The sequence below is a fragment of the Homo sapiens genome, chromosome 15 (genome assembly GCF_000001405.40).
Source record: "Homo sapiens chromosome 15, GRCh38.p14 Primary Assembly".
In the NCBI taxonomy this organism is placed as follows: Eukaryota; Metazoa; Chordata; class Mammalia; order Primates; family Hominidae; genus Homo; species Homo sapiens.
In genome coordinates, this window is record NC_000015.10 from 49,898,843 (window position 1) to 49,926,726 (window position 27,884).

The 27,884-nt window shown below is 37.4% G+C and overlaps 1 protein-coding gene across 47 annotated transcripts in view, besides 1 other annotated feature; it reads right to left on the minus strand.

Annotated features, from left to right (window-relative positions):
• The window catches only part of ATP8B4 (ATPase phospholipid transporting 8B4 (putative)), a 323,617-nt gene that overhangs the window by 40,605 nt on the left and 255,128 nt on the right, over window positions 1-27,884 (minus strand). For 43 of the 47 annotated variants that reach the window (NR_073596.2, NR_073598.2, XM_011522056.4 and 40 more), the window contains 5 exons: window positions 24,537-24,652; window positions 21,404-21,568; window positions 19,997-20,108; window positions 18,092-18,197; window positions 2,250-2,397 (listed from right to left, as the gene is read on the minus strand). Coding sequence is in view for 43 of the 47 variants with exons in the window: in XM_011522056.4 (XP_011520358.3) it covers window positions 2,250-2,397; window positions 18,092-18,197; window positions 19,997-20,108; window positions 21,404-21,568; window positions 24,537-24,652 (647 nt within the window). In the remaining 4 variants the exon portion in view is untranslated. Of the gene's footprint in view, window positions 1-2,249; window positions 2,398-18,091; window positions 18,198-19,996; window positions 20,109-20,811; window positions 21,073-21,403; window positions 21,569-23,381; window positions 23,564-24,536; window positions 24,653-27,884 lie in introns of those variants that run through there. The other 4 variants (NR_073597.2, XM_047433100.1, XM_024450070.2 and 1 more) reach the window with 3 other exon arrangements.
• Window positions 10,334-10,834: an enhancer, noted in NCBI's record as "H3K4me1 hESC enhancer chr15:50201373-50201873 (GRCh37/hg19 assembly coordinates)". NCBI's record gives its function as "activates a minimal SCP1, AML or CMV promoter by ChIP-STARR-seq in naive H9 embryonic stem cells {active_cell/tissue: H9 hESC(naive)}" and the evidence as "EXISTENCE:reporter gene assay evidence [ECO:0000049][PMID:30033119]".

Below are 27,884 nucleotides of genomic sequence, written 5' to 3' on the forward strand. Positions count from 1 at the left end.
CAACCATTTCTAATCTTGCTCCTATCCAAATGCATAAGAGCCTTTAGCTATACCAAGAAATCACTAAAAAAGATAGCACAATCCCTTCCAATTAACTGTGCAATTTTTTTTTCCTAGAAAATGTTTTACTGTAAATTATTTAATAAACACATTAAGAGGAAACAAATCCACTTACACTTTGAGTCATCAGTATCTTTGAGTGAATCTTTAGCAAGACATTCACAGCCCATATCAATCTGGCCCCTGCATTCCTTTTGAGTTTCATCTTCTATCACCACTTTTAAGTCTACACTTTTTTTCCCATCATGCCAAATTGCTTGTTCCTCATGATTGAATGGGCTCTTTCTTGCCTCTGTGCCTTTGTACTTGCCATTACCTCTACTTGAAAATATCACTCTCTCCAGGAAGTCTTCCCTGATTCTCCCACAAAGAAGTAAATTTGTCTCCCTCTGTGCTCTCAAAGCATTGTGTTCATTCCTCTTTTACAGTATTTGTCATACCACTGTGTGATTATCTCACCCACTAGACAGCAATCCCTAAAACGAGAGCCATGTTCTATTCACAGTCTTATCCTCAGACTTTAGCACTGTGACCGGGGCACGCTTAATAAAAATGTCAATGGATGAATGGCTGGATGGGTAAATGAATATAAAAACATAACTCAGTACAGAAAATTCTCATGTTCAAACCTATAATTCCTAGGTGAAATTGTGAGTTGGCATTTTCAAATATTACCACTCTTTCTGAAAGAGAAAACAGATAATTGTCTGTCTTGCCTAGAATGGTCTCTTTCTCTCTCTCTCTCTTTTTTATTATCAGCAAGTGAAAAACTATGCTAAGACTCTGAGAAAAAACAAAGGCCAAATTACATTCTGCAAAGCATCAGGATTTGAGCAAATTAGAATCATGATTAAAAAAAAAAGAAAGAAAGAAAAAGCTTTCTGACCATACTAGCAAAAACATAGTCAAGTCTCCTTAAATTAAAAATGGCATTTCATGGTTCCATGAGTTTCAGGCTTTGAATATGATGGTGTTCTTGAAGAGCATCTATCTTACCTCCTTCTTTCAATGCACTTAGAGACAGAGAGAGAGAATGGTATAAATTATCACCTGAGTACTCTTAATGTCACCACACATTGGATTCTTTGAGCCTGAGAGAAAGTCAAAGTATAACTCATAAGATTCCCTTTCCATATTGTGGTCTCTGGGGAATTCAGCTTGGGGGCCACCAGCTTTAAGACCCAGATGACAGTCGTAATTTTCAGTTACTGTTCTTCTGTGCATAAAGGAATTTTGTGTCATGTGGACAAACTTTCAACTGAGTTTGGCCTGCAGCTGAGCTCTGTAACTTTCCATGGTGTAGAAGGCAACACATCATTATGTCTGGAATCCAGCTGGATAATGCTCTAAGCACTAAGAGCTAACAACAGACAGCTGATCGCAAGGGAGAAAACACAATATCCTCATACCCAACTTCTTTTGTCCTCTAAGAAACTGTCTACAAGAAGATACATTTATTGTCCAAACCCTAAAGTGAAAAATGATCATCAAAGCCAGAGAAAGATGTGAGATTAATTCCTTGTGCATATAAATTATAATTTCACTGGAGCGTAATTGGAGCTTTTGTATTTTAAATTAGAAACTCAGAAGAGTATTTTCATGTTTGTTCAAGATTCAGAATCTGAACTACATTAAAAGTACAATGCAAGTTCATTCTATTAGGACAAGAACCAGATTTCCTAATCAAAGCAAATTGTTTGGCATTGCTGTAAAATGCTGCTATTTAGAAAAACCACTAGAGGTATCTTAATGGCAATAATTTCGTATAGTAATTACATGAAGGTCAGGTTGTGCTCCACAAATCACAAACATTAGTAAGAGCAATAATTATAATACATCCACCCAGTTGCATTATTTTAATTAAGTAACAGTGAGCCGTAACACTCCCCTCTAGAAAGGCACTTAAATAATACTGCTAAGTGGTCTATAGTCATTTAGACAAGATTGATATTCTGTGAATTTAGCATTTCTTTGGAGCCTCCCCTTTACTGTGGTGATCCAAATAATAATGTATGAGATATATATTAGAAGTTTCCTTTCCCTTTGCAAACAGGAAATCATCGCATATGCCCTGTATCTAGTAGTGACATTTGTCTGGAAAAGACAAAGGAGGTCTCATTATGATAGCACAAAAGAGATGATTATTGCAGTGAAGAAAAAGAAAGGACAAAAACCTTAGGCAAACTCACCAAACTGTGGCCATTTATGATTAAGGCATAATCTCCTGTTATGGTTTCTTCTACAATAGAATCCAACTCCAGCTGCTGCTTTTTTTCACAAACTACATGGCCATTGGAAAAATTTCTGTTTTGTCCAAACAAATTTTGTTTTGCTTTCCTTAAAGGAGAGGGTGAAAAGTGAAACATAACAAAGCATACAGAGCATGCCTACTAATTCTAACAAGAAACTTGCCTAGAGGTAAATTTATTTCACCACTATTCAGAGAGAATATGGCATAAGACCCAGTTTCAGTAAGCAAGCTGGATAATTCTTTGTGATGGGAATATCTTAGCAAATTTCCAAATTCCAGGATGTAGGAGAGTAAACATAATGAAAATACAATATCTTGAATGTTTAAAATGACCTAAAAGCTAAATCACCATCTTGAGCTGTGTTTGAACTAGGGGATCTTGATAGATTTGGTACTTAAGACTGTCTGAGCTTCAAGGGCTTAAGAACCACTATCTGGCAGGCATGCTGTTAAATAATGGAAAGCACAAGACTAAAGACAATTGATGAAATCTTCTAGGAATTCCAGGACATCTATATATAAAATAAATTCATCAATTTGAGGTACAATGTAATACGATCCAGCTTAAAATAGTCCTCTGAGAAACATATTTTTTAAAAAAAATTTAACAAGAAGAAAAATGATGGTACTTACTGAATTGGCATAGCCATTATAATAGGATAGAACATTTTAAGCAAAAATTGTATTCAGCTTAAAAAATAGAATAAATCTTCTAGGAAAAAAACTAGACACCAAAATATAGAGGGTTGTTCCAAATGGAAACGCCCTCCAAATGCTCTAGATCTAATTAGCAGTAGCTATAAAGCAATCCTGCTCACATCCCATGCATCTCTGCCATCTAAGAGGAAGATTGTATGGTGACATAGCACACTTAGAAGTGGCATTCTACTGTTCTCTCCAAAATGGAAAGATGATGCCCTTAAAGGAAGGGAAATTCCTCTTCAAGAACAGTTGAGTGCAGGCTTTGAAGTAACATAAGGCAAGCTGACAAACCTACAGAAGCTTCAACCACGACCAGAGAACTATCCAGCATGGGTCATAACTGGCATTTACAAAATGAGCACTCAGGAGAACATGGAGAGTGAGAGAAGACCAGAAAGTGAATATTGTGTCTTTTGGCGAAATGAAATTACTCATCCTGTGTAGAAAATATTTATTAAAATGGTTTTATGCTGAGGCTCCTCTGAAAGAAGAGAATGTCCACTTACCAAAACAACTGTTTTAGCCCTCAGCTGTCTAATTATTTGAAAATGTAACACCAATTGTTTACATACTAAGTTTAAAAATAAAAATGATACAAAAAGATACATTAACTTCTAGCTCAATATCTCCTTCTGCTGTCCAAGACCAAAATCACATCTGCATTTAGGAACCCAGAGGTCACATGGTTCCAAGAATCATATCACACATTTAACAATCAGTTTGCAGAATCAAAGAAAAAGATGTATAAAGTCAGAGTGCTATGTGTGAAATTTAGGGAGTTACAAAGGGGAGAGGGAAGTAGAACAGACATGAAAAATCATTGTTGTAAGTGAGAGGATCAGACTTTCCCATCAGATAACTATGTCAGGGAATCCTCCTCACAGTCATGAAAATGTACAGTGCCAAATAATAAAGAAAGCAAGGGAGACAAGTTCCTTGGAAATGAACATTTCTCTGACAATGTTGCAGAGCTCATAAATTGTGACTTCAGAAAGCACCACAGGGAAAACATCTCCTGAGTACTCCTTTTGAGTAAAGTTCTCACTCGCTGTATAAATGACTCAATCTGTTTTCCCCTTAGAGAGTAAAAACATTCCAAAGAAGGGTGAAGTTCATGAAAGTATTGGCTGAAATTCTATTTACTTAGGATTTTTTTCTCCTTAAACTGTCTTCCTAACATCTCACATGAACCCTTTTCCAGGCAGAAAAGGGACAGTTTTTCTGGCTCTGCTGAAATTGTCACTGCACTTTCTCTGTACAGGCCAACGTCTCTTGGCCAGATTGGGCTTTCATATTTTTAGACCTTTGCCCACGCTCTGTAGCTGTCATTTCTTTTTCTTCCTGGAATTTAGCTCTTCAAACACCAGCTGGTTCTCACAAAAACGATTTATTAGGAAGGGAAAAAGCTACACATAACTCCCTTCAATGACTATGAGCTATACATTTTTGAAGCGTACACACAATGCTTAACCACATAATACAAATAACAAATGCTAAAACAAAAGAGTGCCTGTTTTTTCCAAGCTGCGTAATGAAGGGCAGTTTATTACAATTCTTGGCATGCAGAATCGCATTAACAGTTGAGGCAACTGTGGCATTCACAGCCCCATGTCACTACAAGCACAGCAAAGCATAGTTAGGCACATACTGGCTTGCATACAACCTATAAAGAAGAAAAGAGGATGGTTGGAAAAAAGAGTCGTTTAGTCAGTCCTCTTAAGGCACTCTATATTGAAAGGTTAAATTGATCTGTTGTGGCCAGGCACAGTGGTTCATGCCTGTAATCCCAGCATTTGGGGAGGCTGAGGCGGGCAGATCACCTGAGGTCAGGAGTTCAAGACCAGCCTGAACAACATAGAGAAACCCCCATCTCTACCAAAAATACAAAATTAGCTAGGCTTGGTGGCACATGCCTGTAATCCTAGCTACTCGGGAGGCTGAGGCAGGAGAATCACTTGAACCTGGGAGGCGGAGGTTGCAGTGAGCCAAGATGGCGCCATTGCACTCCAGCCTGGGCAACAAGAGCAAAACTCCGTCTCAAAAAAAAAAAAAAATCGATCTGTTGGAAATGGATTGAAACCATGACATCCTGTTTAAAAGAAGAAAATCTGGACTTTGATATGAAAGCTGGAGCTTTGAGCTTGGAACCTGGAAACCTGGGTTCAGACTGCCTCTGACATCTTATGTTTGTTTCCACAGTTGAGTTATCTGACCTCTAGCCACTTGATTAGCCAGCGACAGATCCATGGCTGGAACCTACGTCTTCATATTCACAGTTCTTGGTCTACTGCACCAAGCTGGTTTACACATAGAGTCAGCCACAGACTGCCTCTAGGTTGGACTAAGACACAGTGCTGGAGGGACAGTTTTAAGGGACAGCACTACCCTGCCAACAGTAGAGAAAGGGAGAAAGTACATGAAATTTTGATTTGAATTCCCAGTTCCATTCCTTACTACCCTACCTGAGAGACCTTTAAGATGTTCAACCACTGAACCAGTTTCATTATTAGAGTTCATGAAATGGGACCAGCCAGTCAGTTTGGCTAGTGCCCCAAGCAGTCAAAATAGATCATGAAAACTTGGGCTGCTGCACCAGTGTGTGCCAGAAGATCTACAAGATTACCTAAGTAAGTGCTCTAAAATTTTATGATTCATGAGAGAAATTTAATGTACTAAAACATTTTTCCTGGGTGACTAGGGGTTAGGAATTAGGACCAAAATGCATTTTGTTTGGCCTGCACAGTGTCTTAAAGAATCTCTATGGCTTTATGGCCAACATGATGTTCCCACTCACCAAAGGCCCCATCACTCCCTGATGTATAATAGATAGCCCAGATCACATGATTAATGCTATATGCCTGTTCCTGAAGCCATTTGCATTTGAGAACCCTGCACATTCAAATAAATAATTTTCCACCAAGTAGATGTTCAAAAAATACTGATGCATATTTTGCTGATTAAAGAAGAAATATCAATTCCTAGTTATATCACTGGGATACTTCTTAGAAGCAGTGGAGTCACTTTATGATTTAGTTAAAGAACATGAGTTTTTCTAATAACAAAACACGTGATCAATGCTACAAAAATGAAATACGGAATGAGTTTTCCTCTCAGATCAATCAAAATTAAATTCTCAGTCTGTTTTCCTTTCAGCAGAAGACATATGAATTGGTGAAATGTATTCAATGTAGTAATTTTCTGAGAAACCATAGCAGGGTTTAACTGTAGCTTTCTAGGCATGCCTTTAATAATAAGGCAGCTACAGCAGCAAAATTAACCCAGGACTCAAAGTGTCTAAAATGGTTTCACGACACTAAATTTGAAACAAGCCGTATGTATGATATGTATAAAAATTATATATCCATGTTTATGAAATAATCTAAGCACATTTGACAGGTTTAAATATAAGCATTTTGGTCATTTCTTTTCAATAGCTACTATTGTTCAGATCCTGTTCTTTGGTTACACTTTCTTTTTAAATGAACTCCCACTGAACTCAAAAGCATAACACAAGAAAAAGAGATGGTGCAAATTTATGATTTCAATATTTCATCCCAAAGCTGTAGGCTTAGATATAAGTAGCTGAGATTAGGAGTATAGAGAACAACTTTGAGCAATAGCTTTTTTGGATGCCATTTTACCCTCAGTCCTAGTATTAAGAAAATGCACACTATAACTATAATGATTTCTCTTACATAGAATTTTCTATCATATGTTGCCTCTCTGTCTTATACTCTAAGAATGGGGTTACCTACAAGTCTGAGTAGAAATAACATTATTTTCCAGTCAGCTGAGCAAGGTGGCCCCAAGGCTCCTGAAATATTGAGTCTAGCTGGAAATTCTTTATTTTTTTTCTTTTGAATATTTTTTCTTCTCATTAAAAAAGATAATTTTTTTAGCTTTTTTCTAATTGTAAAAGCATTACACAAACACTATTACAACATCAGATAATACAAACAGCCATAAAGAAGGAAGTAAACATGATCCATAATTCTATCACCCAGAGAGAACCACTGTTTATATCCTCCAGATCTTGATAGGCAAGGAGGTAAGGAGGTGGGTAGATGTATAGTGTTTTATACATATATGTACCTACATATATATACACACACACACACACATGCACACACACTTTTTTGCAAAAAGAGAGATCACATTACGCATGATGTTTTGTAGTCTCATTTATCATTTAACAAAAATATCATGGGCATTTTCCAATGTCGAAAAATACAAAATCACTTTGAATGACTGAAGAGTGTTCCATTGCATGTATATATCATAGCATTTAACAAAATCCTTCATGGCTGGTTATTTGAGCTATTTCTCATCTCTATTATCATAAATCAATAGAGCAATAAATATTCCTTTTTATACAAATTCATACATTTGTTCACTTATTTTCTTAAGGGAAATTTCTAGAAGAATCACTGGGTAAAAACTATGCGTATGTGTAATTTTGAAACATATCGCTAGTTTGTCCTCTAGGGAGTTTCTATCAACTTACAGTCCCAACAACAGCATACAAGTAGTTCACATTTCTCCATATTCTTTCCACGTAATGACAGTTGTGTCATCTAGCCAACCAAATGTAGTTGGATAAAATCTTGAGATATTAACTCAATCGCTCCTTTTCCCACTACTACTAGGACCACAAGTGATCCTCTCCATTTAACTAGAAACATACTTTGCTTCAGGAGGATCTGCAGAGCCAAATATAGAAGGAGAAAAATACAACGAAACTTTTGTTTTTGAGCACCAAAATAGGGCTTTGAAACTCATAGCAGCATCATTAGTCTGAATTTCAGCAATCTGGAATTTCACTAATTGGACTTTTGGAAAAAGAAGGGGGGGATTTCTTTAAGTATCAAAAGAATAAACTTTAAATGAGTCAAGGCATTAAAATGATGACAAAAGGAGCAGAGTAGGAAGAAATTACTTTCCTTCATTTCCCATCCCAGCCTAGGGAAAGGGGACTTTGAGGAGTTTAGAAACTGATAAGTGATGGCTAAAAAAAGCCGGGGTCCTGACCCGCCCCTGGATTGGTAGTGGATGAAGGAACCATGTGGCTAATGGAATCCTCAGATAAATTTAGGGGAATCAGCAGAGTAAAGGGATTTTAGAAACTGAAGTGGCCATATAAGAACACAAGTCATCTTGGGCATAGAGAGGTGAGGAAGAGCAGCCACACTTTCCATGGTTCCCCAGCAGAGTGTGGAAGTCAGCCAAGAGGGAAAGCCAACAACAACCCTAAGAGAGCAGAGACCAGACAGGAACACAGACGTGGGAAGTGCTGGATGCCAGCAGGGTAGACACTGATGAACAGTAACAGGTGAGGCAATTGTACATCCCAGACTTGAACTAAATTTAACTGAAAATGCCTAGTTTAATTGTTCTGTCCTCAGACAGAAAGAGGTTCAAGTTCAGTTTTAGAAAATTTAATGAGTTTCTATTCTTGCATGCCTGAGCACACTCTGGGCTGTGAAACCTAGCAGTGACAAAGCCTCCTACTATTTCTCTTCACATCCAATCAAATTACAAGACCTATTCATTCTACCTCCAAAAAGCTGTCTATTTTATTCTACCCTTTCCTTCCCCACTGTTTCAGGCCTGCTGCCCTTATTGGGGAAATAGTTACAAAAGTAGTCCTTGTTGGTGGAAAGATTGGGATCAGTGGCTGAAAGAATGAAGGAAGGGAGAAGGGAGGAAATAGACAAGGAATGAGGAAGGCAAGAAAGATGCGCATGGAACAGTCATAAAGCTTTAAGTTCTTATCTAATCCCCCAAATAAAATAAGATATAGAGTAGATATTTGTATCCCCATTTTACAAATAAGGAAACCAAGCAAACAGAGGTTATTCCCATATCAAAAGTTTCCCACTCAGCCTAAGCATGAAGCTGAGATTCCAACTTGAATCCAGCTGACATGAAGCCCATACTCTTTCTCCTACATCTGCTATTTCCCCTGGAAATTTCTGCTGACTCTACTTGCTAATCTGGTGTCTGACCATTTACTCAAGTGAAGCAGTAAGATACCTTAACAACTATATTTTTAGGTTAATTATTAAAGGGAATAAAAATAAATCTGAGGTATGTTTAGGGAAACACATGGCAAGTGCACAGCCTCTGGGACCAAGCTGCCTAGATTCACATCCCACCTGAACCACGGACTACTTTGGGCAAGTTACTTACCCTCTATATACTTCGACTTCCTCATATGTCCAACAGGGAAAACAGTAATGCCTACGATTGAGTTTCTTAAGAACAAAATGAGGTAATACATGTGTACTGCCTACAATACTCTTCCAGGCACTGTCTCAAAACATTTAGCAACAGGCTTATTAAAATCTAGATCTGTTTGCATCTATCTTCCTTCAGCAAGAGTCAAGTTCTGAATGAGAGTGGTCCTTCAAGATGTACGACTAAAGGCATCTGGCAGTTGCCTCCTCCACAAAGAAGCACCAAGATAGAGAGTAGATAATCATACTTCAAATATGTCATCTAAGAGAAAATATTGGAGTTCAAGAGAGAAGTGACAGGAAACACCTAAAAGAAGAAGAGGGAAACAAGGCATCCTGTCTGGCTGGGAGCCCAGAAAGGCTCTCCTGTGTAGGGAAAGTATAAGTGAGGGATGCCCAGTGGTCCACAATCTCACCACAGACTCCACTCCTAGCCATAGGAGAGCCTCTCAACCCTTTCAGACCCTGAAATTAACATAGGGAGCTGCCTGAAGACAAGGCAGTGCCATTGCCCCAGAGAGGGAGCTCACACTGGGTCCCACATACCACAAAATGACAGCAAAGTGTCATTTTGAGAGCCCAGCCCCACCAGACTGCATCCTGCCTGAGGGCCCAACAGTACTTGGCTTTCCACATTCCTGGAGCTCCACTGACATTCCCCACCTGCAGCCACCACCACTGCCACCACTGCCACCATGGCCAAAGTGCAAGACGCTGACAGCAACCCCACTACCCTTCCAGCAACAGGACTTCCTCACATTTCCACATGCCCTAAGGATAGGCTACCTTACATATAGCTGCCACCTACAGCCAAAGCACACACTTCCCAGCCACCTGCCTAAGGCTGCTACTACTAAAAGCAATCCCACTCACCCCAGCAGCCAGCACGGCCAGAGTGCAGCTACTGCCACCCCCACCTGAGCATTCCACCAGAGGCCTTGGGATAACCCTGTCCCTGCCACCACAGCCAGCACCCATACATACCACTGGACAGCGGGGAGAAGGGGAACATACAGACAGGTCTGTCCAGTCTGGCTTTGACCGCACTCCATACCCCCCACCCCAGTACTTGAGCATACCACCTAGGGGCCTGGGGATCACCCTGCTCCATCCACCATCCACTGCCGTGGCTCCATCCACCATCATGACCACTCCTCCCAGAGACTGGAAGACAGACTAACCCAGCCTGCCACTACCACCACAGCTAGCACCCACCTGCACTTACCACCCGTGGACCTGGGGAATGGCCTGACCAGCCTGTCACAGCCACTGCCAACACCAGCATAGGCTATTTGGGAGCCAGAGAGTTGTCCAACCACTGCTACTGCCATTGCCTATGCCATGCCTGCAGCCCAGGGGCCCAAGGTCCAGCCCACTGTTTCTACTGCTGTCACCTGAGCAAGCCTCCTGGTGGCCCAAGAATCATCCCACCAGGACACACTAATGCCAGTGCCAAATGTGCTACCCTTGGACCCAAAGACAGGCAGGCTCAGCCTACCACTGCTCCCACTGGGGCCCAAGGACTGTCCCACCTGCTGTCCCCATGCCCAATAAAACTTCACTACAGTCTCCATTAACAACCACACCCTAAGCCACTGAGGAAGTCACAGACACCATTGGCTTTGTTTACCAAAAAAAAAAAAAAAAAAAAAAAAGAAAGCCAAATAAATTATATGGAGACTATACTACTGCACACATCCAGAATCAAAGCCAAAGTGCCCTACCCAACCAATACCAAGATACATATTGAGGAAGTCCTCTCCTATGAAAGTAAATCCACAAAATTGGAAGAAGCGACTGTTATACCAGATGTGCAGATAGCAACGTAAGGACACAAGAAACGTGAAAAAGCTAGGAAATACAACTCCAAAGGAACACCATAATTCTCCAGTAACAGATTCCAATGAATAGGAAATTTATGAAATTCCCATAAAAATAATTCAAAATAATGATATTAAGGAAGTTTAGTGAGATACAAGAGAACAAAGATAAACAATACAAAGAAATGAAAAAAACAATTCAGGATATGATTGAGAAATTTACCAAAGAGGTAGATATCATAACGAAGAACCAAACAGAAATCCTGCAACTGAAGAATTCACTGAATGAAATAAAAAAATATATTTGAGAGTTTTGACAATAGACTAGATCAAGAAGAAGAGAGAATTTCAGAAGAAGACAGGTCTCTTGAAATAACCCAAACAAAAGTAAAACAAAAGAATTAGCAAGAGTAGACAAAGCCTACATAACGTGCGAGACAACATAAAGCAACCACATATCTGAATTATCAGCATTCCCAAAGGTGAAGAGAGAACAAAAGCATTCAAAAGCCTATTGATGAAATAATAGATAAAATCTTCCCAACTCTAGCAAGAGATTTAGACATTGAAATACAGGAGGCCCAGCAATCCCCAAACAGGTACAATGCAAAAAGGTTTTCTCTGTGATACATTATAGTCAAACTGTCTAAAGTCAATGACAATGATAAAATTCTAAAAATAGCAAGAGAAAAGCATCTAGTCACCTATAAAGGAGTCTCCATCAGACTTACCGTAGACTTATCAGTAAAAACCTTACAAGCCAGAAGATAACAGGATAATACATTCAAAGTGCTGAAAGACAGTATCTGGAAGTCAAGAAATACTATACCCAGCAAAGTTATCCTTTTTGGAGAAATAAGTTTATTTCTAAATAAAGTTACTTTATTGTGGAGAAATAAAATTACCCTCTTTGGGGAAATAAAGTCTTTCCCAGACAAGCAAAAACTAAGGGAATTCAACACTACTAGAAAAGCCCTACAAAATAATTGAGGGAATCCTAAACCTGGAAGCAAAAGGACAATATCTACTATTAAGAACAACACATAAAAGTGCAAAACTCACTGGTAAAGCAAACACACCAATGAGGAAGAGAAAGGACTCAAAGTTACAACTAAAGAAAACTACTGACACAAAAATATATAATAAAAAAGAAATAAAGGAACAGAAGATATATACAACATCCAGAAAACAATTAACAATGTGACAGGAACAAAACCTCACATATCAATAGCAACTTTCAATGGAAATGAATTAAATTTTCCGCTTGAAAAATACAGAATGGCGGAATGGGTTTTTTAAAAATGTGATCCAGATGGCCTGGATCTGGATCTATAAAAATGTGATCTATATGCTGCCTACAAGAAACTCCTTAACCTGTAAAGACACCTATAGACTGAAAGTAAAGGTATAGAAAAAGATATTCCTCACAAACAGAAACCAAAAGCAAACAGGAGTAGCTATACTTATATCAGATACAAGACACTTTAAGCCAAAAATAGTAAAAAGAGCCAAAATTATCATTTTATAATGATAAAGGGATCAGTTCAGTAAGAGGATATTACAATAAGAGGATATTACAATTCTAAATATATATTCACCCAACACTGAAGTACCCAGATATATAAAGCAGATATCATTAGATCTAAAGGGAGAAGTAGACTCCAATACAATAATAATGAGGGACTTCAACAGTACATTCTCAGCATTAAATAAATCATTTAGACAGATAATCAATGAAGAACATTAGATTTAAACTGGACTTTAGATCAAATGGACTGAACAGACATCCACAGGACATTTTATCCAACACTTGCAGAATACACATTCTTCTCACCAGCACATGAAACATTCTCCAGTATAGATCATAAGTTAGGCCTCAAAATCAGTCTCAACAAATTTTTGAAAACTGAAGTCATATCAAGTATCTTCTCAGACCACAATGGAATGAAACTAGAAATCAATACCAAAAGGAACTTAGAAACAATACACTACATGAAAATTAAACATGTTCCTGAATGAATACTGGGCCAATGAAAAAAGTAAGATGAAAATGAAAAGATTTCCTCAAACATATGAAAATGGAAACAAAACATACCAAAACCTATGGAATACAGCAAAAGCACTGCTAAGAGAGAATTTTATAGCAATAAATGCCTACATCAAAAAAGTAAAAAGATTTTAAATAAGCAATATAATGAAATGACTGAAAGAACCCGAAAAGCAAGAACAAAACCCAAAATTAGTAGAAGGTAAAAGATAATAAAGATCAGAGCATATGTAAATAAAATAGACTAAAAAATACAAAGGATCAATGAAATGAAAACTTGGTTTTTTTGAAAAGATGAACAAAGTTAATAAACTTTTAGCTAGACTAACCAAGAAAAAAAGAGAGAGGATCCAAATAAACAAAATCAGGAATGAAAACAAAGACATTACAACTTACGCCACAGAAATATACAAGATCAAGACTTTAAGAACAACTATATGCTAACTAACAGGAAAACCTAGAGGAAATGGATAAATTTCTGGACACATGCAAACTTCTAAGATTGAATCAGGAAGAAACGGAAAATCTGAACATACCAAAAGCCAATAATGAGATTGAGTCTGCAATAAAAAGTCTCCCAACAAAGAAAAACCCAGAATTGGATGACTTCACTACCAGATTCTACCAAACATGTAAAGAAGAATTACTATAAATTATCCTTAAGTATACCAAAAAAACTGAAGAGAAGGGAATTCTCCCTAACTTGTTCTACAAGGCCAGCATTACCCTCATACCAAAATCAGAGAAGAACACAACAAAAAAAGAAAACTACAGATCAATATCTCTGATGAACATAGACATAAATATTCTGAACAAAAAAGTAACAAACTAAGTCCAACAGCAGGCTTGAGTGTGGTGGCTCCATGCCTTGTTTTGCCGTGTTTCCCAGGCTAGTCTCAAACTCCTGGGCTCAAATGATCCTCCTGTGGGAAGCGGAGGCAGGCAGATCATTTGAGCACAGGAATATGAAACCAGCCTAGGAAACATGGCAAAACTCTCTCTCTACAAAAAATACAAAAATTAGTTGGGTGTGGTGGTGGCTTATACCTGTAGTCCCCACTACTCAGGACGCTGAAGTGGGAGGATCACTTGAGCCCCGGAGGTCGATGCTGCAGTGAGCTACGATTGCACCACTGCAGTGAAAGCCAGGTGACAGAGCACCTGGCTTTTTTTTTTGTGTCTCAAAGAAAAAAATTCCTACAACAGATCAAAAATATAATACACCACGATCAAGTGAAATTTATCCCAGGAATGCAAGCATGGTTCAACATACGTAATAAATATGATACATCACGTCAACAAAATGAAGGACAAAAACCATATAGTTATCTCAATCGATGCAGAAAAATCATTTGATAAAATTCAACATCCCTTCATAAAAACTCTCAACAAACTAGGTGTAGATGGAACACAACTCAACATAATACAATCCATATATGACACCCACAGCTAACATCATACTGAATGAGGAAGAGTTGAAACCCTTTTTTCTAAGAACTGGAACAAGACAAGGATGCTCACTTTTTCCACTCCTATTCAACATAACTGAAATTCCTAGTCAGAGCAATCAGGCAAGAGAAAAAAATAGAAGCCATCCAAATTGAAAAATAGAAGTCAAATTGTTCCTGTTTGCAAGCAACATGATCTTACATTCAGAAAAAATTCAAGTGATTCCATCAAAAACTCTTAGAACTGATAACCAAATTCAGTAAAGTTTCAGGATACAAAATCAAGATACAAAATCAGTAGTGTTTCTATACACCAATAATGAAGTACCTGAGAAAGTACCTGAGAAAGAAAGCAATCCCATTTACAATAGCTGTAAAAAAATAAAATACTTAAGGATAAATTTAACCAAGGAGGTGAAAAACCTCCACAAGGAAAACTACAAAACACCAGTGAAAGAAATTGGAGAGGGCACAAACAAATGAAAAGACATTCCATGCTCATGGATTGGAAGAATTAATATTGTTAAAATTATCATACTATGTTATTTTTCACAGAAATGGAAAAAAAATTCCTAACATTCATATGGAACCAAAAAAGAGCCCAAATAGCCAAAGCAATCCTGACCAAAAAGAACAAAGCTGGAGGCATCACACTACCTGACTACAAAATATATCACAAGACTAAAGTAACCAAAACAGCATGGTATTGGTGTAAAACAGACACATAGGCCAATGGAACAGAATACAGAACCCAGAAATAAATCCAAACATTTACAGTCAATGGATTTTTGACAAAGACACTAAGTACACACACTAGAGAACAGACATCCTCTTCAATAAGTAGTGATGGGAAAACTGAATATCCATATGCAGAAGAATGAAACTGGACCCCTAACTCTCACCATACACAAAAATTAACTCAATATGAATTAAAGACTTAAATATAATCCCCAAAATGATATAACTACTAGAAGATAACATAGGGAAAACAACTTCCAGACACTGGTCTCTAGGCAATGATTTTACGGCTAAGACCTCAAAAGCACAGGCAACAAAAACATAGGCAAGTGAGACTACATGAAATGAAAAAGCTTCTGCACAGCAAAGGAAACAATCAACAGACTGAAGAGACAGTCTGTTGAAAGGAAGAAAGCATTTGCAAAGTATTCATCTAACAAGGGAGTAATATCTGGAATATACAAGGAACTCAATTAAAACAGTAAGAAAACAATCCCATTAAAAAGCAAAGAACATGAATAGACATTTCTCAAAATAAGACACACAAATAGCCAACTTATATATGAAAAATGCTCAACATCATTAATTATCAGAGACATGCAAATCAAAACTACAATGAGATGTGATTTTATTTCAGCTAGAATAGCTACTATTAAATAAATAAATTAATAAATAACAGATGCTGGTAAAGGGAGCTATTACACTTTGTTGGTGAGAATGTAAATTAGTACAGCCACTAGAGAAAACACTATGGAGATTTCTCCAAAAACTAAAAATAGAACTACCATATAATCTAACAATCCCAGTACTGGGTATTTATTCAAAGGAAATGAAATTACTATATCAAAGGGATATCTGCACCCCATGTTTACTGTAGCACTACTCATAATATCAAATATATATGAAATCAACCCAAGTGTCCATAAATGGATGAATCAATAAAGAAAATGTGGTGTATACACATACAATGGAATACTATTCAACCATCAAAAAAGAATGAAATCCTACCATTTTAAGCAACATGAATGGAACCACGGGTTCCATGTTAAGTCAAATAAGGCACAGAATGACAAGTTTCACATGTTCTCACTCCTATGCGAAAACTAAAAAAGTTGATCTCATAGAGAGTAGAATGATAGATACCAGACACTAGGAAGGTTGTATGGGTGGGAATGCGGGGGATGAAGAGAGGTTGGTTAATTAGTACAAACGTATAGTTAGATGGAAGGAATAAATTATAAAGTTCAACAGCAGAATATGGTGGGTATAGTTAGCAACCATGTATTGTATATTTCAAGTTAGCCAGAAGAGAGGACTTTCTTTCCCAACACAAAGAAATGATAAAGACTCAAAGTGATGGATATCCTAAATACACTGACTTGAACATTATACATTCTATCCATATAATAAAATATCACATGTGCCCCCAAAATATGTATAAATATTGTATATCAATTTAAAGAGTCAATCCAAAAATCAAAAGGTAAAGAATCTACTTTTAAAATTTTAATTGATTATTAAATAAGTTACTAATATTTCCCCAACTGACTCTATGGGGTCTATCATTAAAATTATACCAATAATAATATTTAAATTATATTAGTAGTAGCTAATTAAATTTCCCAATTTTTATTTGGCAAAGACATGTGCAGTATTTAGTCATAGTTTCTAACCAGCACGATATAGCAGGTTTTTTTTTTTTTTTTAACTGCAGGTAAAACCGAGAGGCTGGGAGATTCGTGTACAAGTACCATCAAGTAGTGGTGCTGACTTTTAAGACTTCCTTTTTTTAAAGTTCAGGAAGAATAGTTTAATGACAGAGACATATTTGGGAAGCCACAGAGCTCTACTATTATATTGAAGGAAGGTTAGCTCCCCATCTAGAATGGAGCAAGCGATAAGTAATTTGCATCTGTGTCATCATTCTGCTTGGCCAGTGTCTAAGTGAGCTGAGCTTAGAGAAGCTACTACAAGCAGCAAGCAAGCAAAAATTGTTATAAGACAGTATTTTTTAAGTTCTAGGAAAATATTTTTGTAGATTTTTAAACGTTCTTCTCCAAATAAAGTAACAAGAAATAAGGAAATGAAATAAATTGGTACATCTTAAGAAATATTATCTCTCAAACTTTAATGTCTGTCCACTGCTACCTCCAATTTCAGCACTTACGTATTTTCTGGTACTGTGCAGTAGTTACACAAATCTCACAGTATTTTATTTCACATAAACAGTATATATCTGGGTTCAATAGTAACTACATCAAAATATCTACTTTCTTTAATGCTGAAAGACTCTATTCCATCTTTATATGCTGTTTACAGCTGTTTCCCAAACTTATCTGATCATAAGCTTCATCTAGGTGCTTATTAAATACAAAGTCCCATATCCCATTCCGTGTAGATTCTTAATTTGTAGGTCAGAATGAAGCTAGGGCATTGGTATTTTTAAGAAGTATCTCATGATACTGATCACTCATCACCACGCAAGAGTGAGCAGGTACTAACCAAAGCACAATTTTAAAGGACAACTCAACATAGCTGATTTGAAATTCTTTTCTAAAAATAGTTGAGAAATGTTGGAGGCCTGAAGACAATAATTCATTACTGATATCAGCTTCATCTCAGTTTGTCACCAAAATGAAAGGAAGTTTAGGAAACATGCACAAAGAACTTTATACTAAGTTAAGACCACAGGAAACTATAGCATAGCTTTTCACTTTCTCAACTCTCTGATCTTTTTTCCCTCCCTCCCTCTCGTCCTTCCATCCTTTCCTCCTTCCTTCAACACCTACCTGAGTTCTTCTCTCACTTCCACAGCATTATTCCCTGCTATCACAAACACATCATTCATGTCGTCAGTCAGCATGTTGCAGGCATAACCGATGTTGATGGCAGTTTCTAACACAAAATAAAGCCCAATTCAGTTAAAATGTTACTTAATAACCTAAGTCCATTTTTAATGAAAGTTTTGAGGGCTTAGCTGTATTTTCTTAAAGCCTACAGGGGGCTGATGTCAGAGAGAGCACAACAGGTGATAAAATACAAGCAGTGCAGAGGGAAATTCAAAGACCTGGGTTTCAGGATCAAATTCCCTACTTGCTAAACCCATGCACAAGTAGCAACACTAACGAATGTGCAGCCTTCTCATCTAGTTTTCAGAAAAACCTTTTCATTCCCAAATTAGCACTCATGAAAATAAGATCTTGTGACATAATATGTACAAATATAAAACCTTTGACCAGAAGTCTGAATACTGTCTTGGGAGAGATAAACTACTAAACTTAGCCAATATTTAATTCTGAAATGGAAGACAATTTGAAGAAAAAACTCACAAAATGTTCAGTTGAATGACAAAAAAAAATGCTCTTATGAAATTTTTATAGTTCTCTCACACACAACATTGCCATTTTCCCATTAAATATATGGAAATTTGGAATTTGACTATCATCTCAAAAACCACCCAGCACTGTTCTCCTAGAGAACTGGAGAATCAGATGGTGTTGGGTAATTCTTCCTCTAATTTTATAGAAATGGAACCTAAGATAATCAGATAACTCCTTCTATCTAATAGAGTTATTTGATTGTCTCTAACTGTATAGAATAATTAGACTCTAGCTAATTCTATGGAATCATTAGTTTTGTCCTAAATTAAGGAAGGTAATTGATAAAATCTCAGCATATACCTTGTATAAACCACAGAAATTAAAGCTAAATAATAGTAAACTCATGGATATTAGTAATAATAGAACGGCTGTAACTGACCAAAATCAAACTCTAGAGAGTTTCTACCTAGTAACACACCGGAGTGCTCAACTTTCTACTGTTTATTTTTTGTGATCAATGATTTGGATAAAGATGTAGAGAATTGATGCATCACATGTGCAGATCCCCTAATGCTATAAAAAATACCTAATAAGTAGATAGAATTTTAACATAGGTGTATGCCAGTTAGTTGAATATTTTTCATTTACAAATAGCCAAGCATAAAATCATTTTTGTTTTAACCATTACTGCTAGCAGTAGATCAAAAATATGTTGGTCCCCTTTTCTTTCATAGGAAACATAGTAGAACACGATGATTCACTAATGATTTGGCATTTTGTCAAGCCTGAAGGTCAATGAATTCTCACTGTACCTTGTATAGACAGTCCTGGAATTCAGCCAGGTTGCACTGTTACAGCTGTAGTAGTTATTAAAATACCAAAATATTTCTATAAATGGTTGATAAACAGCTGTTTCCCTGAGCTTCTTCAAAGTGTTCCCATCACCCTGACACTTCCCCTAAGATCCTTCAAATTCCCCACCATCAAGAAACTAAAGGAGTAACCCAAGGTCTCCAATATCCTGCTTTAGTTCTGTGCCAATATCTGTCCTGACTGGGGACAGTGTTCATATAAACCAATTGTTAAACATTTTAAATACCATTTTTGCCTCTAGGTGTAATGATTATATTCAAGAGGCAATTGGACCGAAACTTAACTGACTCCAGCTTATACTATGGAAGGCATTTTGTTAGTTTGGTTTGTTTTAAAATAGATTCTTGCAATACATTAACTTCCTCTTCTCTATTTCAAGTCTTTCCTATGTGGAAGATTGGGTGAATATTTAATTAATTAACCTTTCTGGTTAATTAAAATTTTGTGATATAAGTCATCTCCCCATTTTCAAAATATCATCAACATCCATTTTCAAGTTACCTTGTTTGTCTCCTGTTAGGACCCAGATCTTAATATTGGCTAGTGATAAACTTGTAACTGTTTCAATAACACCCTCCTGTAACTTATCTTCTACAGCAGTGGCACCTAGTAGCTTTATTGAAAAAGAGAGAAAAGTTTATGTTAATGCATGCAAACAATATCTATAACATCTATGGATTTCACTCACAGATTCTGGAGGCCAAAGAATATTAATTGAAGACAGAAATTATGATACATTGATATAGCAGGCATCCTATTTTGTGTGAAAGTGGATTGGGAAGGACTCCAGAAGGAAGTTCCCAAATCAAGCCAACTTAGCAGAGATCTTGGGACTTATTATTTACTTGAAGGGGCTGATATGCTCAGATAACATGTTAGCGTGAGCAGTAGGAAGCCATTTGGACTTAAGAACTCCCCAGCTGCTTCCCCACTTATATCAACAGTGGAGGAGTCCAAAGAATAGCCTTCATCCCATAGTCAGGAAGCTGATCACAAAAAGTCTAGTCATTCTTCTACATTAACAAACCAGCAGACGCCATAAACTAAAGTGAAAGATCCTGCATGATTTTTCCTTTTCCTTTCTTTCTTTTTTCTTTTGAGACGGAGTCTTGCTCTGTCGCCCAGGCTGGAGTGCAGTGGCGCGATCTCGGCTCACTGCAAGCTCCGCCTCCCGGGTTCACACCATTCTCCTGCCTCAGCCTCCCAAGTAGTTGGGACTACAGGCGCCCGCCACCGCACCCGGCTAATTTTTTGTAATTTTAGTAGAGACGGGGTTTCACCATGCTAGCCAGGATGGTCTCCATCTCCGGACCTCGTGATCCGCCCACCTCGGCCTCCTGAAGTGCTGGGATTACAGGTGTGAGCCACCGCGCCCGGCCACGATTTTTCATCAAAAGTTGAGCAAAGCATACTCTCTAGTACCTCACAGTGGGTGAGGTATTCCTGGCCACTGGGGCTTCAGGTAAGAGTGGTTTTTAGAATAGACCATGCTCTGGATAGCACAGATATCATCAGAATCTCATGGCTTAGGATGGTTTAGAACTGTAGCCCCATTCTTCACAGCAAATTTCTCTGCTCTAAAAAGGTGGGTAATAAAACAAGGAGAAAAGTAAAAATCCCATAACATCAAGGACCATCAGAGGTTGACAAAGAATAGGTAGCCTACTATCTTCTACTCTTGGGAAGCTTCCAATTGCATAAGCTACTGCTAATAGAAATACAATTCTAGGCTCTCTAGGACCATACATGGAAAACTCAAAGCCAACATATAAAGCATGATTCAGTGATTGAAAGAGAAACATCTGCTGTGTGCAAGATGACTTAGCCAATGGCTTATTCCTGTGCTAAATCTCTAAACACATACTATCTTTCCTGTAAACACAAACCATCATGCTTCTAAACTCATACCATCAAATCTCTTTCAATTTCTTCATATAGCCCAGCTATTCGTTCATCCCTCTCTTCTGTGGCAGCATTCGCATCTTCAAGCATCTTATGCCACTCTTTAAAGTACTTGTCATCCAGGTCTCTGTATGCGATGGCCAAGGTCCGAAGGCCTTCCCCTGCAAATTCCTGCCAGAGATGACATAGACTCATGAACCATCAAAGAAACAATAAGCACAGAAATAACAACAACAAAAATAATTGGTGAGAAATTTTTCACTCAAATTCATTTTGTACCAAGAGCACTGCTTGGCTATCCTTACTCTCAACTTTTTAATCTCCTCAGAAATGGGAGATAATGTGTGTGTTTTCCGTTTTATTTCTATGAGGTTAAAACATGCAGGGGAGCAAGTCTTCCCCCTAAACACAGCTGAAAAGCCTGCTGAAGTGTCCTAGTTGAGAGGTGATCAGTGACACCCATGACTTGAGATATTCATTTATGGCAACATATATTTGTTTCCAATCTGTCCTTGACGGAAGGAAGCATTTCTGGCCATGAGAGGGACCCAGTGTGTTTTATGGACCTCAGCTTTCAGTGAAGAGGAAAGGACCCTTAGAGAAGCCATAGTCCTCAAATCAAAGGCAGGAGGCTCTCCCCAGGAACCACAACATGACATCACACCCAAGTCTTGTCACATTCCCCCTAGTGATATGCCTATGCCTAAAATTGAGTCCTACTTTTGCATATGCTTGAAAATTTTCATGATAAAAAGCTAAAAGTAAATAATAAATGAATAAATAGATGTTAAATAGTCAGATATTAGAAGTTTAAGCATATTACTTAAGGTTATAACAATAACCTCTAGGGCAAAAGGGGAGAGAAAGGAAGAAAAGCTAATATAGGTGGTTGCTTCTGGGAAGCAGGACTAAATGTGGAGGCTGACCTTCACTTTTCATTATAGACTCCTCCGTGAAACTTTTTATTTTTTGCTGTATTAAAGTTTTATCTTAATAATAACAAATTGTTGGGAATTTTAAAGATACCATTATCAAGTCAGCTTAGTGCAAAAAAGGTATTATTTTTTAGAAGCTATATTCTATGAAGTTAGTACTAAATTAGTCAAACTGATTGGGGAAGCATACTCTTCCTTTTTCCTGTATCGTGACAATCTCAAACACCTTTGGTGCTTTATCCTAATAGTAGGGGAAAAGAAAAAGAGGAGACTGGTATTTGCTAAGTGTCTCACACAGCCATAGTAACTAGAAACATACGTAGATTGCTTTGGGGGAAATGCTCAAAAACTCCCATTCCGCTTGTGCTTCCAGTGGTCATTTTATGGGCCTCTACACTGCAAGTAAAGCATTTTTATGGCCATTTCTGCTCCTTTGGGTATTGCCATTGAGTATGTCTCCTCTGTGGTGTTTTGGCGTATGGTACACATAGAGGTTTATAATCAGGCGTAGGTTAAACTGTGAGATACTGTAATTAGGTAAATAGAAAAGTCAATGCGTACTGCAATGAGATGGTTTACCCCAGACAGATATTGAGAAAAAGTATCCAAATTTCTATAGTAGGCAGTTGGTAGCACTTCGGATATTGGAATCACATTTTGCAAGCCCTGCCTTTCAAGACCACAACTGGATCCCCTACGGATCTGAAAATCTAGCTACTGTCTTGTAATGATCTTTTGTCCTCTTAATTCACACAAGCACTTTTTTGCCTTTAACTTGCATCCCCACTGGGCATTACCACTGCCTTCCTCTCTGTTCTGCACAACAGTGAATGAACAATAAGATGACATTACAAAAGGAAACGGATGATTTAAATTATTTAATTAGTACATGAAACACAAGTTCAATCCTAAATGAGCATTTTATTAAGGTCTTTTCCTATCATTAAACAATTCGAAATCAGTAATTAAATAAACATTTAAGACCTCAGAATCTAGAAGTCAAAATGAATAAAGTGAATGAAGCAAAGAGCAAGTTAAATTTATATTACCTGAAAAAAAATTATTTTGCAGAGAAATGTAAAAAGACCAAATTAGGTTTCCTATAGTTTAGTATTAAAGGAGAATGTATGAAAAACCAGGGCCTTGGTGTTTGAGTAACGGCAATAAGTCAGACACTTATGATTCCAGTGTTGTGTTCATTAAAAAAAATTTAAAAGACCATGCTGGCCTCCTGGAAAAGATTAAAAGAAAATCAATTCTCTATTGGAAAGACAAAAAACAATAGCTATGTTTGTAACCAATATTACCAAACCATCATTTTTTAAATTTAAAGTGAGACAGAGGATTTTTTTTATTTGTTTATTTGCTTTTTAAAGATTCAGGGAATGTTTTGCATTAAATATAGGGTCTGACAAAGAACATGAATACTCAATAATATCTTAAAGGAAAGAAACCAATGAGAAAATGACAGTTTTGACCAGATGCCCTTAAATGGAACCATAGGCAAATATTTGAGACACACTTGAATCTCAGGTTTAAAACAAGTAAAGCTCATATTAATTCCCATTCCCTTACTTTTTGGCATTTAACAAAAAAGTGCCAAAAATCACTCTTACTTCTTTCAGAAAGCTTTTGGAAAGAAATTATGCTGGTCTCAGAATATACAAGTTTGGTGTCTGAGGGCACACAAGTGACTCATCATGATTTATGACCTGAATAAAAAGACCCTTAGAGGAGAAAGTGTGCACCAGAGACTATTTTCCTCTCACAATCTAAACACAACTCTAAACTTTCCCTAGAGGTAATCATAAGATATTCCACTGGTGCCAAACACATCAGAACCCAAGGAAAAGGAGCTCTCTGTCTCCTCTTTCCAAAACTAGTCCAGTCTTCCAAGAGGAGCAACATGAAGCTGCAGGGGAGTTACAGCAGGTTCCCTAGACGCCCACATTCTGTGGCTACTACTCAGTTGCTGTGTGTTCCTCCACCTGTAGAGACTGACTGGACTTCCAACGGGGCAGAAAGGGGGGTGGTCCTTGTGCCAATTCCCAGACAATCATTGGCACAGCTTCCTGTGGAACCATTCTCCAGATGCTTTCTATTTCAGTAGTCAAATCATCTAGCTGCTATTTTTTTTAAACAAGACCTAACCATAGGAGATGGCAAAAGGGCCATTGTGCTAACCTTAAGACGGAGGCACTTACACTGAGGTGGTCTGACGTCAAAGACAAAAGGACTTCATTGGAAGGATGAAGTTTTTCAAACAGAATAGTATCTGCTCCTTTGGAATAAAGCTTTATCTGTCCTTCTGGGTTTCGAACTGAAAAGAAAAAAGTTTGGAAAAGCAGAATATAATCAACGTCATACATCAAAATTAGATTCTCCCAGAGCTCCAGCCTGGCAATTTGGAAATGGGCATAATGTTTTAGCCAGTAGTAAGACACTCAGTGCCTTTGGTTAGGTCATTACCTAAGTCACTTGGCTTTATTCTCATTTATTAACTTAAGAAATGCTCCATCTACTGGAATCTTTGATTTCCCAAATTCAGAAACAAGTGTTTTTATTCTGAAGCACATGACCTTCCTGTTTTCCTTGCTTACTATTTCTGAAGGGTTGATACATTTAAATTAAGTCTTCATCTCCATATTAAGCAGAATTGAGAGCTTTATTTGCCTGTCTCCTGGTGTGAAATTCAAGACCTGCTGTTCAAATCAGTATCAGTGCTATGCTAAATCATCTCCATATGCAATTCTAGCCATTCAAAGTCATGGTTTATGCATTTTTTCTTGGCCCTTGCTGACATATTTCTTCATCCCTTTTACTCCGGAAAAGTCCATTAATTCTTGGTGGTTCGTTCCTGGGTAACAATTCTGGCTGAAAACACACTTCACAGAGGGGCTTTTAAAAATAAAGTTTCCACCTCATTCCCACTGGAAGTCTATATCGGTAGTACTGTGTTTTTAACCTGCCCCACAGGTTTGAGACTGACAGCCCTTCCTAGGCTACCCTCAACTCCATTCCCACCGACAACCCCCAGCATATTGCTGTTAGACAAAGCTTTCTTTCAAACCACAGAACACTTGGCCTAACTTTTTAGGTTTAGTTGTACAGCTTGACACATAGTAGGCAATTAATAATTATTTGTTGAATGAATGAATGACATGGCTGGGTATTTCTTCCCAGAACTGCCTACAACTTAAGACAACTGCCTTTGTCACAACTTCATAATCTGAATACTCTTGCCCTCATAGGCTTCATCAGTTCAGTCAAAGATCATTACATGCTTTCTACTCAATTATCCCATTTATCTACAAAGAGAATGCCTCAAAAAAAGGTTAACATAAATGTTTACTATTATTTACTGTTAATGTAATGCCAAAGAAAATGGCGTACAAAATTTAGTGCTTAATTTAAAAAAATATAAAAACCAAAATACAATGTTACCCTCCCCTCTACCCCAGTCTACACTTATCTATTCTAGTTTCCTCCTGGCTTACATAGATCTAATAACATACCCTGGAAGCTTTTTAGGACTGGGCCTTGTCTAGGTCTTGTCTTCTGTTTTAAGACCCTTGGTTAGCTTGCCTAATTGCCAGAACTCATGTGGGTTTTCTTGTACTCTAGCTCTAACCCCTACATTGGGGAAAAAGAAAGAGAAAAACATATGCAATTTATCTAATTGTTAAACCAGGGGGGGAAACTTAATCCTAGGAAAGACTCTCTCTTGATTTTCTTGTACAATAATCCAATTGAATAATTTCCCTTATATTTTCTCCCTTCCAACACCAGAGGTATAAAGGCAAACGATGAATAACCTACATTTGCCTGTATTTTGTATTCTAGACTAGGACATTAGTTCTCTAACTTATGGTCTCAGGACCTTCTTTATAATTTTTCAATGCTGAGTGAGGATTCTAAAAAGTTTTTTTAAGTGAATGTTATCTATCAATATCCATATTAGAAATTAAAAATGAGAAATTTTATTATATCAGTTTTATAACACTAGTTACTATAATTATTATTATTGTAAATCTAACATATAAGCATAAATAACATTTCTATAAAAAAACTATATTTTCCAAAAAATATTAGTTTGGAGATTGGCATTATTTTACATGATTACAGATCTTTGTAACATCTAGTTTAATAAAAGAGGGTTGGATTCCCATATCTGTTTCTGCATTCATTCTGTTGTGACATCACATGTCACGTGGCTTCTGCAAAACTCCATGGTATACTCATGAGAAAAAGAATGAAAAAGATAAATAATAGTGATATTATAATGAAAATACTTTTGTCCTTGTGCATCCTCTGAAAAACTCACAAAGTTCCCTAAGGTTCCCTGGACCACACATTTAGAATCACTGGTCTGGAAGAATCACAAACTGATTGTGATTTGTGTAAATCCCTTACCATCACTGTATCTTAGTTTCTACATGTAAAAAGGAGATGTTTAAACAATCTAACTTCAAAGGTCCTTTGCAGCAGTACAATTTTCTGATTCAATAAATACTTTCCATCCCTGATACTTTCCCTTAACCTAGTATTTGTCCCTTTAAATTTGATTTTGTGGAAATCCAATTTCATGGAATCCTGCTTATGTTTACTCATTAAACATTTGCTTTAGCAGCAAGTTTTATATCTCTTTTCTTCCAAGCCTTCTGGTCGTTTCTGTTCAAAGTTAATAAAATCTAAGTCATTTCAGAAGTTAGTATTTCTTAAATAAACTAAAAAGGACATAGTTTTAAATGGTCACGATAACATATGGCCAGAACTTGGACAAAGGTTACAGTTTTTAGGTTATAAAATCTTCTCCCAATGCTTTCCATTTAAATATTAGTGTTCTTCAGAGATTTACTTGGGGTCTTTTTTTTATCTTCCCATCCTTCATACTGTCCCTGGGCAACTGCATCATTTCTATGGCTTCAGGTTCCAACACCAGGCTGTTTTCAAATGTGTATCTCCTGTCCAATCCATCTCTAGCACTCCATTCTGACCTGCACATCCGACTACCAGTTGAAAATCTCTTGGATATGCTCAAGCACACCAAACTCATACTGGACATATTACCCTCCTCCAATAATTAGCTACTCCTCTTATATCCCCAGTCTTAGTAATCAGCTTCACCATCCATTCAGTCTCCCAAATCAGAAATCTAGGCATCACTCACAGTTCTCCCTTCACCAACCATACATCTAAGGGAAGCTACGGATTTCTCTTGCCACTTCTCTCTTGCCTAGAAAATCACTTTAACCTAACTGGTTTTACCCATTCCAGTACTGCTTCCTTCCAGACTCTTCTGTATATTCCAGTTACAGTCATCTTCATGCTGCTGCTTAGAATCCTGCAATAGCTTCCCTCTCCCTTCTATTAAGTTTGGACTCCTTGACATGACATATAGAGCTTATTAACAGCTGCACTATCCAGTCTGTTTTACCATGTTCTCTTGGAGGCAGCCACATAGAACTACCTTTCAACTTTTCACATTCTCCCTTAGCTTGAAGGCCCTGGAACATATGGGGAACTTAAATCAATATTTACTTAATTAAGAT